This window comes from Homo sapiens, chromosome 11 (genome assembly GCF_000001405.40).
Source record: "Homo sapiens chromosome 11, GRCh38.p14 Primary Assembly".
Lineage (NCBI taxonomy): Eukaryota > Metazoa > Chordata > Mammalia > Primates > Hominidae > Homo > Homo sapiens.
Window position 1 is genome coordinate 67414177 of NC_000011.10, and position 21322 is coordinate 67435498.

The 21322-nt window shown below is 59.4% G+C and overlaps 2 protein-coding genes across 9 annotated transcripts, besides 11 other annotated features; both read left to right on the plus strand.

Moving 5' to 3' along the window:
- Positions 1–1501: 1501 nt before the first annotated feature.
- Positions 1502–11428, plus strand: CARNS1 (carnosine synthase 1). 5 transcript variants are annotated; one of them, NM_001166222.2, is made up of 10 exons: positions 1502–1587; positions 2000–2026; positions 3231–3501; positions 4255–4344; positions 4580–5067; positions 5311–5485; positions 5577–5662; positions 6433–6664; positions 6763–7043; positions 9199–11428. In NM_001166222.2, exons 2-10 carry the CDS (start codon positions 2024–2026, stop codon positions 10423–10425), a joined length of 2853 nt encoding a protein of 950 aa, NP_001159694.1. In that variant the 5' UTR covers positions 1502–1587; positions 2000–2023; the 3' UTR covers positions 10426–11428. The 5 variants fall into 5 exon arrangements, with proteins under 5 accessions (NP_001159694.1, NP_001381506.1, NP_001381507.1 ...); NM_001394577.1 differs by lacking the exon at positions 4255–4344; NM_001394578.1 differs by lacking the exon at positions 3231–3501.
- Positions 2240–3075: an enhancer, noted in NCBI's record as "H3K4me1 hESC enhancer chr11:67183887-67184722 (GRCh37/hg19 assembly coordinates)". NCBI's record gives its function as "activates a minimal SCP1, AML or CMV promoter by ChIP-STARR-seq in naive H9 embryonic stem cells {active_cell/tissue: H9 hESC(naive)}" and the evidence as "EXISTENCE:reporter gene assay evidence [ECO:0000049][PMID:30033119]".
- Positions 6331–6870: a silencer, noted in NCBI's record as "silent region_3631". NCBI's record gives its function as "represses an Ori minimal core promoter by ATAC-STARR-seq in GM12878 lymphoblastoid cells {active_cell/tissue: GM12878}" and the evidence as "EXISTENCE:reporter gene assay evidence [ECO:0000049][PMID:35858748]".
- Positions 6881–7230: a silencer, noted in NCBI's record as "silent region_3632". NCBI's record gives its function as "represses an Ori minimal core promoter by ATAC-STARR-seq in GM12878 lymphoblastoid cells {active_cell/tissue: GM12878}" and the evidence as "EXISTENCE:reporter gene assay evidence [ECO:0000049][PMID:35858748]".
- Positions 13862–14011: an enhancer, noted in NCBI's record as "active region_5093". NCBI's record gives its function as "activates an Ori minimal core promoter by ATAC-STARR-seq in GM12878 lymphoblastoid cells {active_cell/tissue: GM12878}" and the evidence as "EXISTENCE:reporter gene assay evidence [ECO:0000049][PMID:35858748]".
- Positions 14028–14795: an enhancer, noted in NCBI's record as "H3K27ac-H3K4me1 hESC enhancer chr11:67195675-67196442 (GRCh37/hg19 assembly coordinates)". NCBI's record gives its function as "activates a minimal SCP1, AML or CMV promoter by ChIP-STARR-seq in naive H9 embryonic stem cells {active_cell/tissue: H9 hESC(naive)}" and the evidence as "EXISTENCE:reporter gene assay evidence [ECO:0000049][PMID:30033119]".
- Positions 14112–14361: an enhancer, noted in NCBI's record as "active region_5094". NCBI's record gives its function as "activates an Ori minimal core promoter by ATAC-STARR-seq in GM12878 lymphoblastoid cells {active_cell/tissue: GM12878}" and the evidence as "EXISTENCE:reporter gene assay evidence [ECO:0000049][PMID:35858748]".
- Positions 14318–21225, plus strand: RPS6KB2 (ribosomal protein S6 kinase B2). Of its 4 annotated transcripts, NM_003952.3 has the most exons (15): positions 14318–14447; positions 14806–14846; positions 14944–15064; positions 15351–15419; positions 17192–17339; positions 18424–18481; positions 18561–18661; positions 18776–18866; positions 18950–19040; positions 19164–19271; positions 19819–19881; positions 20022–20099; positions 20201–20308; positions 20406–20518; positions 20813–21225. In NM_003952.3, the coding sequence occupies exons 1-15, from the start codon at positions 14370–14372 to the stop codon at positions 20991–20993; spliced, it is 1449 nt and encodes a 482-aa protein (NP_003943.2). In that variant the 5' UTR covers positions 14318–14369; the 3' UTR covers positions 20994–21225. The 4 variants fall into 4 exon arrangements, with proteins under 4 accessions (NP_003943.2, XP_047283351.1, XP_047283352.1 ...); XM_047427395.1 differs by lacking the exons at positions 20022–20099; positions 20201–20308; positions 20406–20518; positions 20813–21225 and having other exon boundaries at positions 18950–19018; positions 19819–19855; XM_006718656.4 differs by lacking the exons at positions 14318–14447; positions 14806–14846; positions 14944–15064; positions 15351–15419; positions 17192–17339 and adding an exon at positions 18180–18316.
- Positions 14796–15563: an enhancer, noted in NCBI's record as "H3K27ac-H3K4me1 hESC enhancer chr11:67196443-67197210 (GRCh37/hg19 assembly coordinates)". NCBI's record gives its function as "activates a minimal SCP1, AML or CMV promoter by ChIP-STARR-seq in naive H9 embryonic stem cells {active_cell/tissue: H9 hESC(naive)}" and the evidence as "EXISTENCE:reporter gene assay evidence [ECO:0000049][PMID:30033119]".
- Positions 19600–20361: an enhancer, noted in NCBI's record as "H3K27ac-H3K4me1 hESC enhancer chr11:67201247-67202008 (GRCh37/hg19 assembly coordinates)". NCBI's record gives its function as "activates a minimal SCP1, AML or CMV promoter by ChIP-STARR-seq in naive H9 embryonic stem cells {active_cell/tissue: H9 hESC(naive)}" and the evidence as "EXISTENCE:reporter gene assay evidence [ECO:0000049][PMID:30033119]".
- Positions 19600–20379: a biological region, named in NCBI's record as "H3K27ac-H3K4me1 hESC enhancer GRCh37_chr11:67201247-67202008".
- Positions 20130–20229: an enhancer, noted in NCBI's record as "active region_5095". NCBI's record gives its function as "activates an Ori minimal core promoter by ATAC-STARR-seq in GM12878 lymphoblastoid cells {active_cell/tissue: GM12878}" and the evidence as "EXISTENCE:reporter gene assay evidence [ECO:0000049][PMID:35858748]".
- Positions 20260–20379: an enhancer, noted in NCBI's record as "active region_5096". NCBI's record gives its function as "activates an Ori minimal core promoter by ATAC-STARR-seq in GM12878 lymphoblastoid cells {active_cell/tissue: GM12878}" and the evidence as "EXISTENCE:reporter gene assay evidence [ECO:0000049][PMID:35858748]".
- Positions 21226–21322: the final 97 nt, after the last annotated feature.

Consider the following 21322-nt stretch of genomic DNA (forward strand, 5'->3'; position numbering starts at 1 on the left):
CAAAACAAAACAAAACAAAACAAAAGTAGCTGGGCATGGTGGCTCGCACCTGTAGTCCCAGCTACTTGGGAGGCTGAGGCAGGAGAATCACTGGACCCGGGGAGGCGGAGGTTGCAGTGAGCCAAGATTGTGCCACTGCACTCCAGCCTGGTGACAGAGTAAGACTCTGTCTTAAAAAAAAAAAAAAAAAAAAAAGGGATAGGGTCAAAAAAAAAAAAAAAAAAAAGAGAGAGAGATAGGGTCTCGGCTGGGTACAGTGGCTTACACCTGTATTCTCAGGACATTGGGAGGCCGAAGCAGGAGGAGCACCTGAGGTCAGGAGTTCAAGACAAGCCTGGCCAACACGGCGAAACCCTGTCTCTACTAAACACACAAAAATTAGCCAGGCGTGGTGGCGTGTGCCTGTAATCCCAGCCACTCAGGAGGCTGAGGCAGGAGAATCACTTGAACCTGGGAGGTAGAGGTTGCAGTGAGCTGAGATCACACCACTGCACTCCAGCCTGGGCCGACACACTGAAACTCTGTCTCAAAAAAAAAAAAAAAAAAAAAAAAAGCGGAGCGAGCGAGAGAGATAGGCTCTCACTGTATTGCCCAGGCTGGAGTGCAGTGGCACAACCAGGACTCACTGCAGTCTCGACCCCCGGGGCTCATGTGATCTTCCCACCTCAGCCTCCCAAGTAGCTGGGATTACAGGCCCACACCACCTCAACCAGCTAGTTTAAATTTTTTTTTTTTATAGAGACAGGGTCTTGCTATGTTGCCCAGGCTGGTCACAAACTCCTGGGTTCAAGCAATTCTCCTGCCTCAGGCTCCCAAAGTGCTGGGATTATAGGCAGCCACCGCACCAGGAGAGGCTGGATCTTATAGACATCCTGGCCCCTGTGTGCAAGTCCACTGGGTCCAGAAGTGAGGAGGGGGCTGCACAGATGTGTGGAGACCCTGGCCCAGGAGGGCCTCTCTGGGAGAACGTGCAATAGGGCAAAGCGCTGGCAGCTGGGACAGAAAGCTGCAGGGCTGGGACCTCCGGCCTCCATCCAAAGGTAGGGCTCAGGGCTGTGTGCTCCAGGCTGCTCTCCCGGGCACCCCACCCCTAAGGGCGGGCCCTAGTACCAGTCTCTGCCTGCTCCGGCTCTCCCCGCCCCTCCTTTCCATCTCTTCTCCATGGTGGGCCTCCCTCTTTCTTCATGGCAGCCCTACGTCTGTGACCCTCGACGACAGTCCCTGTCCATCTGTACCTGGCCCTCTGTCGGGACTTCCTCTGTGTCTCTGAAGACCCCCGTCTCTCCCTGCCTGCTCCGTGCCCTCCTCCTGCTGGGTCCGTGTCCCGCCACACGCCCCCAGGTCTGGGACGTTTTCGTGGCTGACGGGCGGGGGGGGGGGGGGGCGCGTCCCCGGCGGGTCCCTATCGGTCCCTGTCGGTCCGTCCGCCCCGCGCCGCCCCCGCTGGGCACTGGGCATGCCCCAGGCGTTTCTATATAAAGCGGCGCCGCTTGGGCCGGGCGCTGTGCCACTGCCACCGCCGCCGCCGCTGCATCCCGCCCGGTCCGAGTCCGCCCGCCACGCCCGCCGAGCCGCTGCCGCCGCCAGGTACCCCAGCTCCGGCCCCGCCCCGGGGAGAGCCAGGGAGGGGGGCGGCCGGGGCAGGAGTCGCGGGGACGAGGACCCCGGGCGCCCGCTCCCCGCGGCGGGACCCTCGACGCTACGCCCCCCACCCCCGGGACCCGGTGCCCCCAACTCCCCCCCGCGCTGGAGGGGCAGAGCCAAGCCCGGACCCCAGGGCAGGAAGGACCTGTGAGCCGCACTGGGGCAGGAGCCACTCGGTCTGGGCAGCAGAAATCCCTCCCTACCTTCGGGGTGGGGGTGGGGCTGCCTTGGCCTCTCTCTGCAGGGACAGGTGTCGGCCACCTCTCCACTCCCAAAGTCTAGGGGCTGGAAGGCCAGGCAGGGACTTGGCTGCCCTGACTCCTTCGTCTCTCTGTCCCTCTGTCTCTGCCATCAGTCTCTCAGCCACTCCACCCACGAGATGGTGAGTCTTCTGTGGTCCCTCCCCCACAAGGCCCAAGTCCCTGGGCAGAGAGTGGGCCCAGAGGACAGCAGGCAGCACCTAGGACCTAAGCCTGGGAGTTGCCCCCTGCAGACAGCTTAGACCCACGACCAGCTCCCCCACCCCCACCCTGCGGCTGCATCCTGGGAGGTGGGCACTCTTAGTGCCCTGTGACATTCATTCATTCCATGGCCCCTCAGGGAGCTCACCTTCTAGGAGACGGCACAGAGGCTCTGGCCCTGGCAAACTGGGATTCGAGCCCAGGCATGAGGCCCAGTCCTCTGCCGTCTGGGCCACAGCACACCATCTCCCAACAACCAAGAGATTCTCTTCGTCCCAGCCTCATCAGCCCCCAGGGGATGGGAGAGGGCAGGCACCAGGCAACAAGGTCCAAAGAGACCTCACGACTTGCTCAAGGTGGCCGAGCCTGTCCCCTGGAGGACAGACTCAGCTGCCAGGCCTGTCCAGGCCTGGGGACTGCAAAGAACAAGAATTCCATTCACACGAAGCCTCCCAGCAGCCCCATATTGGGGGGGCGCCAGCCTCAGAGAGGGGAGGGACGTTAGGTTTCATCCAAAGAAAGCATTTCCGTGACTCAAAATATCTGCAGGGGGGATACTGTCTAGCCTCCTAATGTTTAGCCCAGGGCTGGGCACACAGTAGGGCTTCAAGACCTACGTGGGGATGACAGTGGAATCACATTTAGGTGTCAGCACACTCCATGCCGGGTCATGAGACAGAAATAAGCCACCTCAGAGTGATGGCTGGGTTCGTTCATTCATCTACTCTTCAGTCAACAAACACTTACTGAGAAGTGGCTGTGTGCCAGGCACGCTTTAGGTGCTGGGGTTGCCTCCATGAACAAAACAAGCAGAAAACTCTGCTGCTGTGAAGCAAGCTAAGGCGGAGCCCAGCATGGCAGGGGCGGGAGGGGCTGGCTGGCAAGACATTGCTTCCTGCCCTCCCCCCAGGGGCACCACACAGAACAGTTTACAAAGCACTCCCACGGTTGCGTTCCCATTAACAAGCCTTCGCCCCCAACACAAGCCTTTCCTCTCCTAGTCCCCGGGACGGTGTCAGCCCTGAACATAGCCCAGGCTGGGAGAGTGGGGGGCTTACACCCTTGGGTGACTTAATGTGCCCACTGGCCCACCCTGCCCAAGACCTACCACTTCTGCCCTCTCAGCTCTCCCTGGATCCATCGGGTCCCGAGTGGGATTGCCCACTGGGCTCCAAGGACCTGGAGGAAGAGGGCCCCTGGGGAGGGGGCTCTGGCCTGCCGCCCACAGGCTGCTTCCCTGGCTCCTGGCGCCAGGACGTGGGCCTGGACTGCAAGGGATCCCCCGAGGGGGCCGAGGCCCGGGCTTGGACTGTCTACTACTACAGCCTCCTGCAGAGCTGTCTGCAGCAAGCTGGCCTTCCGGAGACTCAGGACCGCGGCCAGGTGCCCCGCACAGGTGCCCAAGGGCTCCCTGGAGGGAGGCACCTCTGGGGGCAGGGAGGGGCCCTCAGCCCAGTCTGCTTGCTCATCCCTGTCAAGGTCGGCCCCTTCCCCTAGGCTCTGGTTCCATCTGAAGGCAGGGAAGGCACAGCCAGTTGGCCTAGGGTAGGCGGACATTGTTTGCAAGGGCATCTGGCACCAGTGAGGTCAAGGATTGGGCTCCCTGCCCTCACCCCCTCCCCAAAAAGACCCAGCCCTGGGATTGGGAAACCACGTTGTGTGGCACCGAAGCTTCTAGAGAAAGGTCTTGGGAGCTGTGGTGGAGGCAGCTCAGCAGCTGAGACCCCCCAGACTCCTCCCCTTCTGCCCCTCCACGCCTGTTACATATATCAGACTTTGTGTGGACAGAGGGTTCACAGGCAGAATACCTGAGAATCACAGACTTGGTCCCATTGTACAAACTTGGAAACTGAGGCTTGGAGGAACACTGACTCCTCCAAGGTTACACAGAAAGTCAGAGCTCGGGCTAGAACTCAGGTCTCCAGTCACCTAGCCCACAGCACCTCTGGAACAGCTGCAGAAAGGGGAAACCAGCTTCACGGGGCAGGACTGGCGGGCACCTCCATTCCCTGCCTGTCCCCTGTCTCATCCGATTCCTGGGAAAACTCTGGGGGCTCAGGGTGGGGCCGTGGGTGTGGAGGTGGTGGAAGGTGGGCAGAGAGACAGCAAGGGCGCCCCTGGTGAGCTGGGCCATGTTCTCTTTCCCGAGGCTGTCCTGGGGCGGAGGTGACCTTGTGCGTTCTGGGCTCCCCCAGCACCTTTCTGCCTGTGCTGCTGGAGGGTGGGGTCCAGAGCCCGGGTGAGTGTATGCTCAAGTTTCCCCATCCCCTTCTACAGAAAGGGCAGCCCTGCCCTGGCCCAGCCACATCCCAAAATACCCGCCAACCCTGGCAACTGCCTGCATTCCACCGGAGCAGCTGCCATGCTGAATGGGGATGGGTTCTGGGATCAGCTGCTTCCACTCCGCTACCCGGGGGCCCGGGCATAGGGCATCAAGCCTTCCCTGGCCAGCCACTTGCCTTCTCTGCCCACAGGAAACATGCTCCTTTGCCTGTCCCCTGCTTGGCTGATGAAGGTGCCAGCACCCGGGCAGCCGGGTGAGGCAGCCCTGCTAGTCTCCAAGGCTGTGAGCTTCCACCCTGGGGGCCTGACATTCCTGGATGACTTTGTCCCCCCGCGCCGTGCCACCTACTTTTTGGCAGGCCTGGGCCTGGGGCCTGGCCGGGGCCGAGAGGCAGCAGAACTCGCCCGTGACCTGACCTGCCCCACAGGAGCTTCGGCTGAGCTGGCCCGGCTGCTGGAGGACCGGCTGCTGACAAGGCAGTTGCTGGCCCAGCAGGGTGGTGTGGCTGTGCCAGCAACCCTGGCTTTCACCTACAAGCCGCCGGGGCTGCTGCGGGGAGGGGATGCCAGCCTAGGGCTACGGCTGGTGGAGCTGAGTGGCAAAGAGGGCCAGGAGACGCTGGTGAAAGAGGAAGTGGAGGCTTTTCTGCGCTCCGAGGCCCTGGGTGATATCCTGCAGGTAACAGACTCTCGCCCACCCTGAGGTCTGTACAGATGCCAGCAGGATGGGACCCAGGCACGGTTACCAAGTCTGGCTGGAAAGGTGTCCCTACCTCTTAGCCCTGCCGCTGCCCTGCCCCATCTCTGGGGCAATCCCCTGCCCTTTTGCCTCAGTTTACTCACCGGCTCCTGTGGCGGAAGTGCCCCACCCTGCAGTACCTGGGGTGGTGTCCAGGAGGCCCCTTTCCCCTCCTTGCTGCAGGTAGCTGTGAAGCTCAGTGGCTGGCGCTGGCGGGGGCGGCAGGCATGGCGTCTGCACCCGCGGGCAGAGCTGGGTGCAGTGGTGGACACAGTGCTGGCGCTGCTGGAGAAGCTGGAGGAGGAGGAGAGTGTCCTGGTGGAGGCTGTGTACCCACCTGCCCAGCTGCCCTGCTCAGGTGAGAGCCACCTGGGCTGACCAGGGATGGGAGTTTGGTGTGGCCTTCTGGCCACTCTGTGCTGGCCTTAGACCTCCCCGTCTTCCCCCAGATGGTCCTTCACCCGGCCCCGGCCTGGCCGTGCGAATCTGTGCTGTGGTGTGTCGGACACAGGGTGATAGGCCACTGCTGAGCAAGGTGAGCGTGGCCCAGGCCCAGGCTGTGACCCTGCCTGCCACACGCCAGCCCAGTCCCAGTAGTGGTTTGCCAAGGGCCCCTGAGCCGTCTCTGGGCAGAGAGGACAAAATCCTTAGGGGGGTCGTAGTTGCCTCTGGGGAAACTACTGGGTCTGACCGTCTTCCCTCTCCTGCAACCCTTCCAGAATCCCTCCCACACCAAGAGCCCCTGCCCCTGTGCTCAGCCCCACGCTGGGTAGTACCAGGGCCCAGGGGGCTGAATTGTCTTCCCAGAGAGCTCTTGCCCACGTAGAGGCTGACCCAGGGCCTCCTGATAAACCTCTAGTGCCTGGACGCCTTCAGGAGGGGCCTCTAAGCTGGAGAGTCAGGAAGGCTTACGGACCCTCCTGAGTACCCCGCTCTAGGCTACACTGAGAGGGAGAGATTCGACCCTGCCCTCAGGGAGCTCCAGTGGGGTAGGGAAAGGTGCGCCCCAGGGAGATGCTAGGGTGGGGCACACCAGGGTGGCCCAGGCCCCCAGGGCTGCAGGAGCCATCCTGGAGGGGGACCCCAGCTGGGCCTGGAAGCCTGGGTAGGTAGAATCCCTGGAGAGGTCTGGGGACCAGATGGGGAGTGGCAGGGAGAGCTCGTGTGCAATTTAAGACACGTTGGAGGACGGGGCTTCTTGAATGTCCAGTGAGGGGTCTGGTCTGAATTTTGGCACAAGGCGGTGGGGGTGTGCGTGGGGGGCAGGGAGTGTGTGGGCCTCCCCCTGAGTCTCCCCCTGCCCAGGTGGTGTGCGGCGTGGGCCGCGGGGACCGCCCTCTACGGCACCACAACTCCCTGCCGAGGACGCTGGAGGTGGCGCTGGCCCAGTGCGGCCTGGGCGAGGAGGCGCAGGTGGCGGCTGTGCGGCAGCGCGTCAAGGCGGCGGCCGAGGCCGCGCTGGCCGCCGTGCTGGCTCTGGAGGCCGGCCTGAGTGCCGAGCAGCGCGGCGGGCGCCGGGCGCACACGGACTTCCTGGGTGAGTGAGGGCGGCCGGGGCCGGGGCCGGGAGCCGAGGGCCAGGGGCTGGAGGGCGGTGGCTGCCGTAGCTGAGCTCGCGCCTCCCGCCCGGCGCAGGCGTGGATTTCGCGCTGACAGCGGCCGGCGGCGTGCTGACCCCAGTGGCCCTGGAGCTGAACGGCGGCCTGTGTCTGGAGGCGTGCGGCGCGCTGGAGGGGCTGTGGGCCGCGCCGCGGCTGGGGCCGGCGGCCGACGAGGCGGTGGCGGCGCCGCTGGTGGAGACCATGCTTCGGCGGTCGGCGCGCTGCCTCATGGAGGGAAAACAGCTGCTGGTGGTCGGCGCTGGCGGCGTCAGCAAGAAGTTCGTGTGGGAGGCGGCGCGCGACTACGGGCTCCAGGTGGGCGGGGCGCGGGGCGGGGCTGGGCCCCAGGTCCTGGCCCGAGTGGTGGAGGCGGGACCCCGGGGCGGGGCCTGGAGCAAAGGGGCGTCCTTGGGGCGGGACCAGCCGCGCTAGAGGCGGTGCTTGGGCGGGGCATCCTGGCCAGGTACAAGTAAGCCCAGGAGTAAGGGCGGAGTCCGCCGCCCGGTGAGGGTGAGGGGACTCCGCTAGTTCTGGAGTGAGAGGCCCTGGGGAGGGCAGGGAGTCCTCCACAGAAAGAGGAGAGGAGCCCGGGTAGATGGGCTGGGCGAGGGACAGCGTTAGCGCCAGAGTGGGGGCCTTGAATGCCAGGCTAAGGAGCCTGGCTCTGTCTTGGGGAAAGGGCGGGCCCTTTGAGGTTGAATTCCTGACACTTGGCACCCAGGACCCGCAGAGGGTGCTGGGGAACCGCATACAGATCCTGAATCAAGTTCATAGCAGGGCATCACTTTACAGAATCTGGAGCGAGCCAGGCAGGTAGACTTGTTTTTGTTTTTTCTTTTTTGAGACAGGGTCTCAATCTGTTGACCAGACTGGAGTGCGGTGGTGCGATCACAGCTCACTGCAGCCTCGACTTCCTGGGCTGAAGCGATCCTCCCACCTCAGCCTCCCTAGTAGCTGAGACTACAGGCACGTGCCACCATGCCCAGCTAATTTTTTTTTTTTGAAACGGAGTCTTGCTCTGTCGCCCAGGCTGGGTGCAGTGGCGTGATCTCGGCTCACTGCAACCTCCCGGGTTCACGCCATTCTCCTGCCTCAGGCTCCCGAGTACCTGGGACTACAGGCGCCCGCCACCACGCCTGGCTAACTTTTAGTAGAGATGGGGTTTCACCATGTTAGCCAGGATGGTCTCGATCTCCTGACCTCGTGATCCACCCGCCTCAGCCTCCCAAAGTGCTGGGATTACAGGCGTGAGCCACCGCGCCCGGCCTTTTTTTTTTTTTTTTTTTTTTTTTTTTTTAATACGGAGTCTCTCTCTGTCTCCCAGGCTGGAGTGGAATGGCGCAATCTCGGCCCATTGCAACCTCTGCCTCCTGGGTTCAAGTGATTCTCGTGCCTCAGCCTCCGGAGTAACTAGGATTACAGGCACGCACCAACATGTCCGGCTAATTTTTTATTTTTAGTAGAGACAGGGTTTCACCATGTTGGCCAGGCTGGTCTCGAACTCCTGACCTCAAGTGATCTGCCCGCTTTGGCCTCCCAAAGAACTGGGATTACAGGCGTGAGCCACCAGCCCGGCCTGCCTGGCTAATTTTAAAAATTTTTAGTAGAGACGGGATCTCGCTCTGTTGCCCAGGATGGTCTTGAACTCCTGAGCTCAAGCGATCCTCCTGCTTCGGCCTCCCAAAGTGCTGGGATTACAGGTGTGAGCCACTGCGCACAGCCAATTAGACATTCTTATCCCCATTGAACAGATAAGAAAACTGAGGCCATCTCAAGCTGGCCCTAATCTAGCACACTGGCCTCCTCTCCCCTCTCCCACCGTGCAGCACCCCCTGTGGACACCACCTCTGTGTCCCCTGCCTTGCTCAGTGTTTTCTCCACTTGGAATGTCACTCCACTGCCGAGGCTGTGTTACTTTGCAGAGAGCCACCCTCCCTCTCTCTTCAGTGGCTGCCCTGCCCTGGGTTCCCCCAGCAGGCAGTAAGCTTTAGGGGCACGGGGCCCCACTGGATTCCTCCGTGGACACTTCCCAGTGTCAGAGCACATGGGGTGAATTGTGACCAAACCACTTGTCCCAAGCCCCAGCCCTGGTAGTTTCTCTGCAATCCCCGGCCAGTGAGGCTGCCTGTGGGAAAGAGTCCACCACGCTCTCTCACACCCTCTTCTCTGTGCTGCAGCCCCTCCCACCCAGAACATGCCTTTTCCTCCTGCAGCCACCTGGCTGACTCATATTCTTCAGCTCCCAGCTTAGGCATTGCCTCCTCTAGGATGCCTTCCCTCCCCTCCGGCCTGTATCAGGTGTCCCACTTCTGCCCCTTCCATTTATTCAGTCAATCCACAACACACATTTATTGAGCACCTAGTGTTTGTGTACTCGTATCCCCTGAAGGGGCCATCCTAGGCCCCATCCTATCCCCCTAGCACCCAGTACTAGCTGACCTGGATATGCCCCACCCTGTGGCTTCTGCAGCTGCACCTCGTGGAGTCAGACCCCAACCACTTTGCATCCCAGTTGGTACAGACCTTCATCCACTTTGACATGACAGAGCACCGGAGGGATGAGGAGAACGCACGGCTGCTGGCAGAGTTGGTGCGGGCTCGCGGCCTCAAGCTAGATGGCTGCTTCTCCTACTGGGATGACTGCCTGGTGCTCACAGCCCTGCTCTGCCAGGAGCTAGGTCTGCCCTGCAGCTCCCCAGCTGCCATGCGCCTGGCTAAGCAGAAGAGCCTCACCCAGCTGCACCTGTTGCACCACCATGGCCCACCCTGGCCTGCGCCCTCCCTCCATGCTGTGCCCTGCTGCCCACTGGAGAGTGAGGCTGATGTGGAGAGGGCCGTGCACCAGGTACCCCTGCCAGGTGTCATGAAGCTGGAGTTCGGGGCAGGTGCAGTGGGTGTCCGGCTGGTAGAGGATGCGCCACAGTGCCATGAGCACTTTTCCCGGATTACCCGAGACTTGCAGGGCGAGGCCGACCACCCAGGCATTGGGCTGGGCTGGGGCAATGCCATGCTGCTGATGGAGTTTGTGGAGGGCACCGAGCACGACGTGGACCTGGTGTTGTTTGGTGGGCGGTTGCTGGCTGCCTTTGTCTCCGACAATGGCCCTACGAGGCTGCCTGGCTTCACTGAGACGGCGGCCTGCATGCCCACCGGGCTGGCACCAGAGCAGGAGGCACAGATGGTTCAGGCAGCCTTCCGCTGTTGCCTGGGCTGCGGGTTGCTCGATGGAGTCTTCAACGTGGAGCTCAAGCTGACCGGGGCTGGGCCTCGGCTTATCGAGATCAACCCCCGCATGGGTGGCTTCTACCTGCGTGATTGGATCCTGGAGCTCTATGGTGTTGACCTGCTGCTGGCTGCTGTTATGGTGGCCTGTGGCTTGCGTCCTGCCCTGCCCACCCGCCCACGTGCTCGTGGCCATCTGGTGGGCGTCATGTGCCTTGTGTCCCAGCACCTGCAGGCCCTGAGTTCCACCGCCAGCCGTGAGACCCTGCAGGCCCTGCACGACCGTGGACTGCTACGCCTCAATCTGCTGGAGGAGGCCCTGGTGCCTGGCGAGTATGAGGAGCCCTACTGCAGTGTGGCCTGTGCCGGACCCAGCCCCACCGAGGCCCGTCTCCGCCTGCTGGGCCTCTGCCAGGGCCTGGGCATCGATGGGCCCAGCTACCCTGTTGCCCACTTCCTGTCTCACTTCAAATAGCACTGGGGTCAGGGGGCAGGGAAGCAGTGCTGGGTGGAGGCACTGTGGTGCCCTCTGCTCCCTGGAGCTCTTCCTGCTTCTCTCCCCATCACCATGCCCCAGCCCCAGCCTGGCCCGCTGCAATGCCTAGGTCTGTTCCAGAGCAGCAGGGCAATTTAGACACCAAGGCATCCTGGACTCAAGGGCCTCTTGCCCTCCCGAAGGCCCCAGTCCAGCCTACAGCTTCCCCAGCATTCTAGCCTTGGAGAAATGACAATGGCCACACACACACACACACACACACACACACACCTCTGACGCCAGCTCCCCAGGTGGGAGTGGGCCCAAACCCAGCCCCTCCTGTCCACCTCTCCAGGTCTCACTCTCTTCCTGCCATCTACAAGAGGAGAGGACCTGGCTGGGCCCCAAGCCTTGGACAAATCCTGGGAAAACCTGAGACTAGAACCCTTGTCTTCCTCTTACCCAAATTCTAGGATAGCTCTGAAGCCTGCTGGAAACTTGGTGGCATCCAACCTGCCTCATTCGGCCTGACCGGTAGAGGCAGGTGGCCTGTGGACAGAAGTAATCCTCTTTCTGCTCACCCCAGGCAGACACAACTGCCTATGTTCCCCCGATGAGAGGAAACAGGCTGAGAGAAGAAAAATGACTGCTCCAGGATTATACCACAGTGGAGAGCGGGTCACAGGACATGATGCAGGGTCCAGGTTTCTGTTTTGATCAAGTCTTACATGCCCATTCAGCTTCTAGGCCCCCCTCACCTCCCTGCCCTCATTCACAAGTGGCCCTGAGACACGTGAACACCTCCCTCCTATGCATCACAAACCTTCTCCACCGAGCTTTGGTGCTTTGGCCTCTGGCACACCTAACTAGCATTGGCAGAGGAGAGTCTACACTCTCTTCCTCATTCAGGGAAGATGCTTTAAGAAATCCTGCCTCTGTGCAGCAGAGGAGCTGGAGGCAGCTCCCCAGGCATCCCTCCCCAAATAAAGGCTTATGTACTGGTGAAGTGTCTAGATAGGTTCTCTTGACTGGACAACTCCTCCCAGGATCAGCTAGATAGGGGGTGGGGAAGGGGGATCAAGAGACGGGTAGGGGATACTTGTAGCATCTGGAGCTAAGGGAAAACCACCCCACTGGCCTGGTGTCTGAGTTGCCCTGGGTTGCTAGGGGCCTGCCCTACACCCACATCAAGACCCGAACCTGGGGATCTCCTTTGGTGGAATTACAACCAGAGGGCCACATTCAACGAGATAACCCTCTGCATGCCTGGAGACCCCTGAATTCTGTCCACCTCAGTTCATACCCAACCTCCCCTATGCACATGGAAGGCACACCTAGACAGCCTCCAACAATCAGAACTCACACCCAAGGCCTGGTCTGACCCAAATTCACACCCACACATCCCCATCCAATAAGAATCCATACCCAATCTTTTTTTTTTTTTTTGAGACAGTTTCACTCTTGCTGCCCAGGCTGGAGTGCAATGGCACAGTCACGGCTCACTGAAACCTCTGCCTCCCGGGTTTAAGTGATTCTTCTGCCTCAGCCTCTCAAGTAGCTGGGATTACAGGCACCCACCACCACACCCAGCTAATTTTTGTATTTTTAGTAGAGACGGGGTTTCACCATGTTGGCCAGACTGGTGTCGAACTCCTGACCTCAAGCGATCCACCCGGCTCGACCTCCCAAAGTGCTAGGGTTGCAGGTGTGAGCCACCGCGCCCCGCCAAATCCATACCCAATCTAAAGTCACAGACCACATGTCACAGACAAGATTTGCTGTGTTGAGTGTGTTCATTCCTTCTTTCTTTTTTTTTCTTTTTTTGGAGACGGAGTCTCACTCTGTTGCCCAGGCTGTAGTGCAATGGCGTGATCTTGATTCACTGCAACCTCTGCCTCCCAGGTTCAAGCGATTTTCCTACCTCAGCCTCCCAAGTAGCTGGGACTATAGGCATGCACCACCACTCCCGGCTAATTTTTGTATTTTTAGTAGAGACAGGTTTTCACTATGTTGGTTAAGCTGGTCTTGAACTCCTGACCTCAAGTGATCCACCCGCCTTGGCCTCCCAAATTGCTGGGATCGCAGGCATGAGCGACCCTGCCTGGCCTAAGTTCATTCTGTCAACAGCGTTTTTGGTTTTTGCTGGGTGTAGTGGCTCATGCCTGTAATCACAGCACTTTGGAAGGCCAAGGCAGGAGGATCACTTGAGTCCAGAAGTTCAAGACCAGCCTCCTGGGCAACAAAACAAGACCTCCCCTCTAAAAAAAAAAAAAAAGAAAGAAAGAAAGAAAAGAAAAAAGATTATGTGATTATGTCATTCCAGTTACTTGGGATTTGAGGTGGGAGAATCACTGGAACCCAAGAAGTCAAGGCTGCAATGAGCCACGATCTTGCCACTGTACTCCAGCCTGGGTGACAGAGTAAGATCCTGTCTGAAAAACTAAACAAAACAAAGAAAAAAAAACCATAAAGTTTTTTTTTTTTTTTTTTTTTTTTTTTTTTTTTTTTTTAAGATGGAGTCTCGCTCTTGTTGCCCAGGCTGGAGTACAATGGCATGATCTTGGCTCACCGCAACCTCCGCTTCCCAGGTTCAAGTGATTCGCCTGCCTCAGCCTTCCCGAGTAGCTGGGATTACAAGCATGCACCACCATGCCCAGCTAATTTTGTGTTTTTAGTAGAGACGGGGTTTCTCCATGTTGGTCAGGCTGGTCCTGAACTCCCGACCTCAGGTGATCCGCCTGGCTCGGCCTCCCAAAGTGCTGGGATTACAGGTGTGAGCCACCGTGACCAGCCAGGTTTTCGGGTTTTATCTGTTTGAGACTTGGTCTCACTCTGCCGCCCAGCCTGGAGCGCAGTGGTGCAATCTTGGCTCACTGCAACCTCTATCGCCCGAGTTCAAGCGATTCTCCTGCCTCAACCTCCCGAGTATCTGGGAGTACAGGTGCGCGCCACCACACCCGTCTAATTTTTTGTATTTATAGTAGAGGCAGAGTTTCATCATGTTGGCCAGGCTGGTCTCCAACTTCTGACCTCAAGTGATCCACCCACCTCGGCCTCCGAAAGTGTTGAGATTACAGGTGTGAGCCACCGCCTCCGGCCTGTTTGTTTTTTTGAGACAGGATCTCACTGTGTCACCCAGCCTGGAGTGCAGTGGCACCATCATAGCTCACTGTAACCTTGAACTCCTGGCCTCAAGTGATCCTCCCAACTTGGCTTCCCAAAGTGCTACGATTACAGGCGTGAGGCATCGTGTCCGGCCTCAACAACGTTTTTTGAAGTGTCTATTCTGTACCAGGTGCCTAAATGTGCTTAAATTAAGAAGGGAGTAAACGCCAACAAAATCCCATATTTACAGGTCTATCACTGACCCCCAAAACCCTATTTAAGGCGGGAACCTGGCAACATAGCCTGGCAGTGAGCTGGCCACTCAGTAAATGCTCCGATTTGCAGGGTCCTCGAGCCAGAGGCACTTTGAGGAGACCCTGATGCAGCCGCCTCCCTTTCTGGAGTGAACCGAAAGCAACGCGACCTGCCTTTCATCACGCAGCCGGCCTGGCAGTACCCGTCTCCAACAGGGCTGGGGATTGCATTTACATTCACACCTGCATACACTTCCGACCCTGCTCCATCCAAACTCAAAACACCGTAGAACCAAAACGGGCTCCCAGAAAGCCTTGCTGGGAAGACCGAGGGTCCTGCGGAAAGGATTCTGCAGGCTGAAGGCTAGGCGCCTCGCCACTCTAGGACTACAATTCCCGAGAGGCCTTGCGACGGAAGCCATCTTTGTTCCCCACCAGGCTAAGCGATTTTCCGGAGGGGGAGTAAGATCCCTTGCGTCACCGGCGCGCGCAGCTGCCGTCGCGGAGAGATGATGTTTAGGTCCGGGACTGTCAGTCAGTGCGCGGCCAGGTACGGGCCGACGGGCCCGCGGGGCCGGCGCCGCCATGGCGGCCGTGTTTGATTTGGATTTGGAGACGGAGGAAGGCAGCGAGGGCGAGGGCGAGCCAGAGCTCAGCCCCGCGGTGAGTGCCCTGCCCTGGCGCGACTGGATCCTGGAGCCGATCCTGTCACCCAGCCGAGGCCGGAGCGGCGGCTCCGCACGCCCAGAGCGGGCTCCGACTCTTTGCAGACCCAGATCCTTCTCAGATCCCGGTCTCTATTAAGTTCTGATCCCACCCTCACCCCGACCTCTCTTCCAGAACCCCAGCCTTTTCTCCCGATTCTCCCTTTCCTGCCTTCGGTTTCTTCCCAATTCTTACCCATCCCCTACTAGCTGCCATCCCTGACACCCTTCTCTCCTGGGCCACGCAGTCCAACCTGAACGGGAGCGGGGAGGTATCCTGGCACCTTCCTTGGCTCTTACCCCTCGGTTTCTCACAGGACGCATGTCCCCTTGCCGAGTTGAGGGCAGCTGGCCTAGAGTGAGTGAGGGTCGTGTTGGGGGAGGGGGGAATGGAGTGGGGAAGGGGAACTGGGGAGCACTGGAGCCTTGTCCTCATTAACTCCTTGTGTCCGTAGGCCTGTGGGACACTATGAAGAGGTGGAGCTGACTGAGACCAGCGTGAACGTTGGCCCAGAGCGCATCGGGCCCCACTGCTTTGAGCTGCTGCGTGTGCTGGGCAAGGGGGGCTATGGCAAGGTAGGGGCGGGCGCACCCTCCTCCTGGCCTCACAGCCTCCATCTGGAGGCAGCAAAGGGTTCTCAAAACAAATTAGACTTGTGAATCAGCAGGGCCTCTAATGGGATTCAGAGCCAGAAACATAAAGGAGGGAAGGCCAAATCCTCTCCAATCGGACTTGAAATCTTCACTGCCCCACCCTTGGCAGGGCCTAGGCCTCCTGATCCCAAAGCCAGAGCTTCAGGGTGGGGCTTCTTGAAGATAGGATGTGGAGAGGGAAGTTGATCCTGTCTCCCCTGCCCTACAGGTGTTCCAGGTGCGAAAGGTGCAAGGCACCAACTTGGGCAAAATATATGCCATGAAAGTCCTAAGGAAGGTGAGTCACTCGTTCAGCCAACGAATACTGTGTGGCTGCCATTCCCAACATGCTGTACCAGGCTTTGGGAAGACAGCAGGGAACACAGTGGAGGAGGATCCCTGACTTTGGCGTTTGCTGGTTTATTGTCTGTTGTGATGTGTATTGTCTTGCAGTAATTCTCAATGGGGGCAATTTTGACTCCCAGCAGACATTTGACAACAGTGTCTGGACACTATTTTATTTTATTTTTTTTTAAGACGGAGTCTTGCTCTGTCACCCAGGCTGGAGTGCAGTGACGCGATTTTGGCTCACTGCCACCTCTGTCTCCCAGGTTCAAGCGATTCTCGTGCCTTAGACTCCGGAGTAGCTGGGATTACAGGCGCTTGCCACCACACCCAGCTAATTTTTGTACTTTTTTGTAGAGGTGGGGTTTCGCCTGGCTGGTCTCTAACTCCTAATCTCAGGTGATCTGCCCGCCTTGGCCTCCAACGTGCTGGGAGCTGGGATTACAGGCATGAGCCACCGTCCCTAGCTTTTTTTTTTTTTTGGATGGAGTCTTGCTTTGTTCCCCAGACTGGAGTGCAGTAGTGCACTCTCTGCTCACTGCAACCTCTGCCTCCCGGGTTCAGGTAATTCTCTTACCTCAGCCTCCTGAGTAGTTGGGACTACAGGCTTGTGCCACCACACCTGGCTAATCTTTGTATTTCTATTTGTTTACCTACTTATTTTGAGACGGAGTCTCACTCTGTCACTCAGGCTGGAGTGCAGTGGTGCGATCTCGGCTCACTGGCAACCTCCACCTCCCAGGGTGAAGTGATTCTCCTGCCTCAGCCTCCTGAGTAGCTGGGATTACAGGCGTGAACCACCACTCCTGGCTAATTTTTTTTTTTTGTATTTTTAGTAGAGATGGGTTTTTGTCATGTTGGTCAGGCTGGTCTTGAACTCCTGACCTCAGGCTATCCGCTCACCTTGGCCTCCCAAAGTGCTGGGATTACAGCCATGAACCACCGTGCCTGGCCTAGTTTTTGTACTTTTTAGTGGAGGCAGGGTTTCACCATGTTGGTCAGGCTGGTCTCGAACTCCTGACCTCAGGTGATTCGCCTGCCTCAACCTCCCAAAGTGCTGGGATTACAGGTGTGATCCACTGCGCCTGGCATGGACACATTTTTGATTGTCAAGGCAAGAGGGGAGTGTTACTGGCACCCGGTGGGTGGAGACCAGGGATGCTGCTGAACATCCCACGATGCGCAGGGCAGCCTCCCACAACAAAGAATGACCTGGTCCCAGGTGTCAGTAGTGCCGAGGTTGAGAAACCCTGTGTTAGAGGATAAACCCATCCCTGAAAATGATGGTGGCTGACAGCAGCAGAATTATGGAGAAATACAATGCAGTGACAGAGGATGCAGCAGTTAACAAACAGATGGATGGTCTGAGGAGCTCTGGTTGCCCCCATTTTTTTTTTTTTTTTTTTTTTGAGATAGTGTCTCGCTCTGTCACCCAGGCTGGAGTGCAGTGGCGTGATCTCAGCTCACTGCAACCTCTGCCCCTGGGTTCAAGCGATTCTCCTGCCTCAGCCTCCTGAGCTGGGATTACAGGCGTGTACCATCATACCCAGCTAATTTTTCTATTTTTAGTAGAGATGGGGTTTCACCATGTTGGCCAGGCTGGTCTCAAATTCCTGACCTCAGGTAATCCGCCTGCCTTGGCCTCCTAGAGTGCTGGGATTACAGGTGTGAGCCACTGTGCCCAGCCTGGATGCCTCAGTTTCTAACCAATTCCTGTATCTCCAGGCCAAAATTGTGCGCAATGCCAAGGACACAGCACACACACGGGCTGAGCGGAACATTCTAGAGTCAGTGAAGCACCCCTTTATTGTGGAACTGGCCTATGCCTTCCAGACTGGTGGCAAACTCTACCTCATCCTTGAGTGCCTCAGTGGTATGAGTGCGGGCCCAGGCAGGGGTGCTGGGGGTCGCGGGGGGGCAGCGAGCCAGCAAAGGAAGCTCTGGGGGGAAGCTCTTGAGAGATGAGTCTGTGGGGGTTGGCTAGGGGGCCCCCACTCTGTCCTACCCATCCATCCATCCATCCGTGCATCCGTCCCATCATTCATTCATTCAGCAAACGTCTGTCCAGCACCTACTGTGTCCCTCACGTGTGTTGGGGGTGGATGGGCATGGTGCGAATTTGGATAGAAGTCCAGAGGATGGTTGAGTCTCTTCCTACTCCCCTCCCTGTCTTGTTCTTCTCTCCCGTGTGCCCTGCATCCTGTCAGGTCCCCAGCCCAACTGGTTCATTCTCTGTAGTGTCCTCCTCCATCCGTCCACTCTCAGGGGCCTGGTGGGGTGGCCAGAGCACTTTTCTAACTGGGCTGAGGCCTCCCGCTCACCTGCTTTCTAGTGTCTCCTCTGCCGACTGCTGAGGTCATAGAGCCTGGGGCTGCTCCCAGCCCTTCTATTCAGAGTCCTGCGGCTGGCTGCCCACATCAAGCCTTGCCCCTAGGCCGGCTGTCCCCTGCAGGCTGTGAGCAGTCTTGACCTGCCTTTCCCTCGTTTGGGCCAGATGAACCCTGCGAGCTTCTGCCTCCATGCTCTGCATTCGCTCCGTCCATCTCAGCATCCCCTTAAAGTCCCAGCAAACCGCGCTTTCTCTGTTCTGTTCTGTTGGGATTCACTCTGTCTTCCCTGTCTTCTCTGCGAGATCTTTTGGGCTAAGCTCTTGGAGCTGTGGCCTGGGCCTGGCGTATTAGAGCCGTTGTGTACATGTCTGTCTCCCCAGTAGACTGAGCGTCCTGAGGGCAGTGGCTGGGTCTCTTCATCCTGTCCCCAGCTTCACCCAGCACAGGGCCAGGCACCGAGTAGGCGTCGGTAGATGTTTGCTGAATTGAATTGAATCCCCACGGCAGCTCTGTGAGGCAGGTAGGGCGGGAATTATGAGCCCCTCTTTCCCCAAGAAGAAATAAAGACTCAGAAAGCACAAAGGGGCTTGGACCCAGCACGTGGCTGCTGACGTGTTTGTGTGGCAGGTGGCGAGCTCTTCACGCATCTGGAGCGAGAGGGCATCTTCCTGGAAGATACGGCCTGGTGGGTGTTAATCCTCCGCTTTCCTGAGGCTGCCAGGTCCCTGCTCTACTCCCGCCTTCACCCTGTCTTGTTTCTGCAGCTTCTACCTGGCTGAGATCACGCTGGCCCTGGGCCATCTCCACTCCCAGGGCATCATCTACCGGGACCTCAAGCCCGAGAACATCATGCTCAGCAGCCAGGGTGCGCATGTGTGTGCGGGCAGCTGCAGGCGGGGTCTGCAATCTGTGGGGAGGGCTGAGGACCTCTGTGGGTGGGGTGGGGCCCTGGTCACGCCTCTCCAACACCCTTCCTCAGGCCACATCAAACTGACCGACTTTGGACTCTGCAAGGAGTCTATCCATGAGGGCGCCGTCACTCACACCTTCTGCGGCACCATTGAGTACATGTAAGTGGCACCTGGCTGGCCCAGGGGTCGGGAGGACAGCCCGAAGGGGCACGGCCTGACTGACAGTTCCACCTGGACCCCAGGGCCCCTGAGATTCTGGTGCGCAGTGGCCACAACCGGGCTGTGGACTGGTGGAGCCTGGGGGCCCTGATGTACGACATGCTCACTGGATCGGCAAGTCCAGCCCCCGGGGAGGAGGAGGGGCAGGGGCAGAGGTGGGAGTAGCCCCCCTCCTGGGGCAAGGGCAGGGCCTGGTGGGAGGCCCACAAGGCTCCTCTCACCTTCCTCCTCCTCCAGCCGCCCTTCACCGCAGAGAACCGGAAGAAAACCATGGATAAGATCATCAGGGGCAAGCTGGCACTGCCCCCCTACCTCACCCCAGATGCCCGGGACCTTGTCAAAAAGGTGCAGCTCCCTTCTCTCTTCTCCGGGGCCCTGCCAGCCATTCTGCACGTGTTCCTGAGTCTCTCTGGGCTGTGGGGAAGCCAGGGCCACCCCGGCCTGTGCAGTTTGCCTCTGGGAATGAAAGGAGCCCCTCCCTTGAAGTCAGGGATTGAGCCCAGGTCTCAGCCCTGTCACAGACCAGCTGCTGCCCTGGCCCAGTCCTTAGGCTGAGTCCTAACCAGTGACACGCTTGTGATGAGCTGGCCACACTTCCGTCAAAGGCGAGCATCGGAGGTGTTAGGGGGAGGCCGGACAGCCACATGGGGAGTTGGCGCCTCACCAACGCGCCCTGGGGCAATGCCAGGGCCCAGGAGCCTCTGCAAAGCCTTTGTGGAGAAGGTGGCTCCATTGACCAAACCTTGAAAGCCCTGAGGGTATCCATAGGTGGGAGCCACACCCAAAAGCATTCTCTCCCATGTCACCTGACCCCTACTCCAGCTAGCCCTGGGACCCGGGGACACATGAGCAGTACTTGCCCAGGCCCTCACCCTCTCTCCTGGTCCCGCAGTTTCTGAAACGGAATCCCAGCCAGCGGATTGGGGGTGGCCCAGGGGATGCTGCTGATGTGCAGGTGGGTTTGGGACCACCACCAGGGGTAGGGCTGAGTCTCCAAGGGTGCCGGGAATGGGGGCAGGGCCCCAGGGCAGAGGGAGTGACCGGGGGGCAAGCAGGGTGAGCTGTTAGTGGGTTTGGTGCATTCTCTACCTACAGAGACATCCCTTTTTCCGGCACATGAATTGGGACGACCTTCTGGCCTGGCGTGTGGACCCCCCTTTCAGGCCCTGTCTGGTGAGCAGCAGGGCTGGTGGCCAGTGGCCGGTGGCGGGTGGCAAGTGGAGAACCTGCATCTTGGTGCCCTCTGACCCCTCCCCACTCTGGTCGGCCCACAGCAGTCAGAGGAGGACGTGAGCCAGTTTGATACCCGCTTCACACGGCAGACGCCGGTGGACAGTCCTGATGACACAGCCCTCAGCGAGAGTGCCAACCAGGCCTTCCTGGTGAGTGCGGGGGCCTGAGGCCTGTGGGACCAGGGCACGGATCGTGACTAAGGATGGCAGGCACTGAGTGTCGCATGGCCCTGCCTCCGCCCCCCAGGGCTTCACATACGTGGCGCCGTCTGTCCTGGACAGCATCAAGGAGGGCTTCTCCTTCCAGCCCAAGCTGCGCTCACCCAGGCGCCTCAACAGTAGCCCCCGGGCCCCCGTCAGGTACTGAGGGACGTGGGGGTGTGTGGCTGGGTTAGGGACGCTGGCAGGCAGGATGCCAGCTCCAGCCTTGGGTGCCTTGGCCACGTCTGTCGGCCAGTGTTGGCTTCGGTTGCTGTGTCTATCATGGGGACCTCAGTTCCTACACCCCTTGTGGCCAGGCTGCCTGGATGGGAGTTTGTGGAGCCCGCGGCCTGTGTGCCTGGGCAGGTGGGAAAGGCTGCCTTCCCTGACTGAGTGCTGGGAGCCTCTGGCAGGGCCTAGGAGGCTCTTATTCTGCCTTGGTTTCCCCTGCAGCCCCCTCAAGTTCTCCCCTTTTGAGGGGTTTCGGCCCAGCCCCAGCCTGCCGGAGCCCACGGAGCTACCTCTACCTCCACTCCTGCCACCGCCGCCGCCCTCGACCACCGCCCCTCTCCCCATCCGTCCCCCCTCAGGGACCAAGAAGTCCAAGAGGGGCCGTGGGCGTCCAGGGCGCTAGGAAGCCGGGTGGGGGTGAGGGTAGCCCTTGAGCCCTGTCCCTGCGGCTGTGAGAGCAGCAGGACCCTGGGCCAGTTCCAGAGACCTGGGGGTGTGTCTGGGGGTGGGGTGTGAGTGCGTATGAAAGTGTGTGTCTGCTGGGGCAGCTGTGCCCCTGAATCATGGGCACGGAGGGCCGCCCGCCACGCCCCGCGCTCAACTGCTCCCGTGGAAGATTAAAGGGCTGAATCATGGTGCTGACCTGGCTCTTTGTGCTGCATGCCTAGGGGCAGGGTTGGGTTGGATTGTGCCAGGAGGAGCCCCTGGTCCAGGAGGGAGGGGTCTCTGTAG

Excerpts from the sequence above, each read along its gene's own strand:
- CARNS1 (NM_001166222.2), top strand. Across the intron at positions 5,486-5,576 it reads TGCCCAGCTGCCCTGCTCAG|ATGGTCCTTCACCCGGCCCC; the intron begins GTGAGAGCCACC and ends GTCTTCCCCCAG. Across the intron at positions 7,044-9,198 it reads CGCGCGACTACGGGCTCCAG|CTGCACCTCGTGGAGTCAGA; the intron begins GTGGGCGGGGCG and ends TGGCTTCTGCAG.
- RPS6KB2 (NM_003952.3), top strand. The coding sequence starts at position 14,370 with ATGGCGGCCGTGTTTGATTTGGATTTGGAGACGGAGGAAGGCAGCGAG. Across the intron at positions 14,847-14,943 it reads TTGAGGGCAGCTGGCCTAGA|GCCTGTGGGACACTATGAAG; the intron begins GTGAGTGAGGGT and ends TTGTGTCCGTAG. Across the intron at positions 20,519-20,812 it reads AGCCCCCGGGCCCCCGTCAG|CCCCCTCAAGTTCTCCCCTT; the intron begins GTACTGAGGGAC and ends TTTCCCCTGCAG.